This window comes from Homo sapiens, chromosome 9 (assembly GCF_000001405.40).
Source record: "Homo sapiens chromosome 9, GRCh38.p14 Primary Assembly".
NCBI lineage: Eukaryota > Metazoa > Chordata > Mammalia > Primates > Hominidae > Homo > Homo sapiens.
Genome location: NC_000009.12, coordinates 30,347,791 through 30,350,982, shown reverse-complemented (window position 1 = coordinate 30,350,982; position 3,192 = coordinate 30,347,791). Strand labels below are relative to the sequence as shown.

Below are 3,192 nucleotides of genomic sequence, written 5' to 3'. Positions count from 1 at the left end.
ATTTATCTCTTGCTTTTAAATGAAGAGATGGAATGTTTGGTTTTCCATTACTGAGTTACATCGTTTAGGATAATGGCCTCCAATTCCATCCAAGTGGCTGCAAGAGACATATTTCATTTTTATGGCTGAGTAGTATTCCATGGCATGCATATAGTATTCTATGCTGTGTGTATAGTATTTCATGGTGTATGTTTACACACACATACACATATAATACACACACACACAGACACACACACACACACACACATATATATATATTCACATAGACATATTTTTTTCCCACACTATATTTTCTTTACTTTTCAGTTGGTGGGCACTTAGGCTGATTCCATATCTTTGTAATTGTGAATTGTTCTGCAATAGTCTATGAGTTCAGGTATCTTTTTGATATAATGACCTCTTTTCCTTTGGGTAAATTCCTAGTAGTGGAATTACTGGATCGAATGCTAGATCTACTATTAGTTCTTTGAGAAATCTTCATACTGTTTTCCATAAAGCTACTAATTTACATTCCCACCAACAATGTATAAGCCATTCTGAAGGGGGTAAGCTAGTATCTCATTGATGGCGACAGCGGGGTCTGTGTACTCCATGAGCCAGTAGGAGCCAGAAACATGCGGGAGCTGCATCCCCTACCGAGTTGTCAGGGCAGGAATCCCGCTCTCCCAGGGGCAGCAGCAGTCAAACAGCAGGGACTCCAGCCCCAGACATCCCTGCTTTCTCAGGGGCTCCAGGAAGTCCCCCAGCCCCCATAGGCTCAGAAGTGCCTGCTCCAGCAACCTGGCCTCTCCACACTCCTGGCACCTGCTCCAATTTCACAGCAAAGATGTGTAAAAGCCCGGGCATTGTGGCAACTCAGATGGGTGTGCACGCCCTTGAGGTAGCACTGACTCGGTCAGCCCCCACCACCACCTTGGCCCCCTCTAGACTTTGGGCACAGACGAGTATGGGAGGGAAGCTGGGGAAGTGATGAAGGCAGTCAGCCGGGCCTGCAGGCACACTTTAGCAGGAAGAGCCTGGGTGCCATGGACAGCATGTTGATGGCAGGAGACAGACACGTTTCTGAGCAGAGAGGGGCAGGTCCCCAGTGAAACTCCACTTTCAAGCCAGGGACTGCCTGAATCCTAGGAGCCCGGCTGCCAATTCAGGATTGAGTTCGTAGCCTGGAATGAGAATTTATGGTGCTTTTTCCTGGCCGCACGTGGCCACTCATGGACCAATCAGCAAGTACTTCCGCCCTTCTAAGGCCATAAAATCCCCAGACACACCCAAACTCACACAGACGTTGGAACTACCAGTTGTGCGGGAAGGAGCTATCCACTTTGGGTCTCCTCAACGTTGGGACAACCTGTCAATGGAAAAGAGCTACCCACTTCAGGTCTCCTCAGAGCTGTTCTGTCACTCCATGAAGCTCCTCTCCACCTTGTTAATCCTCCAGTTGTCTGCATACCTCATTCTTCCTGGACGCAGAACAACAACTCGGGACCCACTGAATGGTAGGACTGAAAGAGCTGTAACGCAAATAGGACTGAAACGCTCACTCCTCCTCCCCTCCCCCACCGCCCATGCTCTCTTGCTATTTTCCAGGTGATGAGAAGGAGGGAACAGATGAGAAAAGAGCTGCAACCCTTTGGGGAACCCAGACCTAGAAGCTCCCCTAGCCAGGGTTGTGACACCTTCTTTGTGGCTCTGTGTTTCCTGGCATCCCAAAGCTTCCAGGCACCACCGTCTTCCTCGGTGCCTGCAGTGGAAGCCGTTTGTATTATGCCTGGTCCAGCCACAGCCTTGCAGGGAGCCTGTTCCTGGGCCTGCACCTGGAGCTGTCTGGCCCACCGCAGTCAGCATGCCTGGCTGTGCGCGGTGGCCAGACCCCATGCTCGCTCACACACTCCTAGCCGTTTCGTGCCTTGTTCACCGTAGGGAGACGTGGGATCCAGGCCAGTAGAGCGAACTGAGCACAGCCTGCCGGGCCGAGTGGGCAGAAAGAGCCCAGAAGCCCCAAGCAAAACTCGGGCAATAGCTCCACTGGCCACAGAGGATTACAGCTGGAAGAGTGACATTCTAAGGATTCTGTGACACCATTATGGTTTTAATTTGCATTTTCCTGATGGGTAGTGATGTTGAAATTTTTTTAAATGTTTGTTGGCCATTTGTATATCTTCTTTCGAGAAATATCTATTCATGTTGTTTGCCCATATTTTAACGGGATTTTTCGTTTTTTTCTTGCTGATTCGAGTTCCCTGTAGATTCTGCATGTTAGTCCTTTATTATATTTATAGTTTGTAAATATTTTCTCCAATTCTGTAAGTTGACTGTTGATTATTTCTTTTGCTGTGTGGGGCCTTTTTAGTGTAATGAAGTATTATGTATTTATTTTTCTTTTTGTTGCATTTGCTTTTGGGATCTTTGTCATCCTACTTGATCGTGGTGGATAATCTTTTTAATGTGCTGTAGAATTCAATTTGCAAGTACTTTGTCGAGGATTTTTTTTGCATCAATGTTCGCCAGGGATATTGGTCTGTAGTTTTCTTTTTTGTGTGTACTTTTCTGGCTTTGGGATCAGGATAACATTGGCTTGTAGAATGAGTCAGAGTATATTCCCTCCTTCTGGATATTCAGAACAGTTTCAATAAGATTGGTAAGTGTTTTTGGAATGTCTGGTAGAATTCTTCTGTGAATCAATCTGGTCCTGGGCTTTTGGTGTTGTTATTGTGAGGCTTCTAATTACTTATTAAATCTCATTACTCATTATTGATATGTTCAGGATTTCTATTTCTTCATGATTCAAACTTAGGGAGCTGTATGTTTCCAGAAATTTATCCATTTCCTCTAGATTTTCTAGTTTGTATGTCTCACTCTGTTGCCAGGCTGGAATGCAGTGGCACGATCTCGGCTCACTGCAACCTCTGCCTCCCGGGTTCAAGCAATTCCTCTGCCTCAGCCTCCCAAGTAGCTGAGAACACAGGCACGCGCCACTACGCTTGGCTGATTTTTTGTATTTTAGTAGAGATAGCGTTTCACTGTGTTGCCCAGGCTGGTCTCGAACTCCTGAGCTCAGGCAATCTGCCTGCCTCAGCCTCCCAAAGTGCTAGGATTACAGGCGTGAGCCACCATGCCCAGCCACAAAAATATTTTTTTTAAAATATTTAAGTTATATAAAATTGTGCCACTTTAAGGCTTTTAGTTTAC

General features: G+C 46.2%; 2 annotated features.

Annotated features, from left to right (window-relative positions):
* Positions 548–1,048: an enhancer, noted in NCBI's record as "H3K27ac hESC enhancer chr9:30349933-30350433 (GRCh37/hg19 assembly coordinates)". NCBI's record gives its function as "activates a minimal SCP1, AML or CMV promoter by ChIP-STARR-seq in naive H9 embryonic stem cells {active_cell/tissue: H9 hESC(naive)}" and the evidence as "EXISTENCE:reporter gene assay evidence [ECO:0000049][PMID:30033119]".
* Positions 1,049–1,549: an enhancer, noted in NCBI's record as "H3K27ac hESC enhancer chr9:30349432-30349932 (GRCh37/hg19 assembly coordinates)". NCBI's record gives its function as "activates a minimal SCP1, AML or CMV promoter by ChIP-STARR-seq in naive H9 embryonic stem cells {active_cell/tissue: H9 hESC(naive)}" and the evidence as "EXISTENCE:reporter gene assay evidence [ECO:0000049][PMID:30033119]".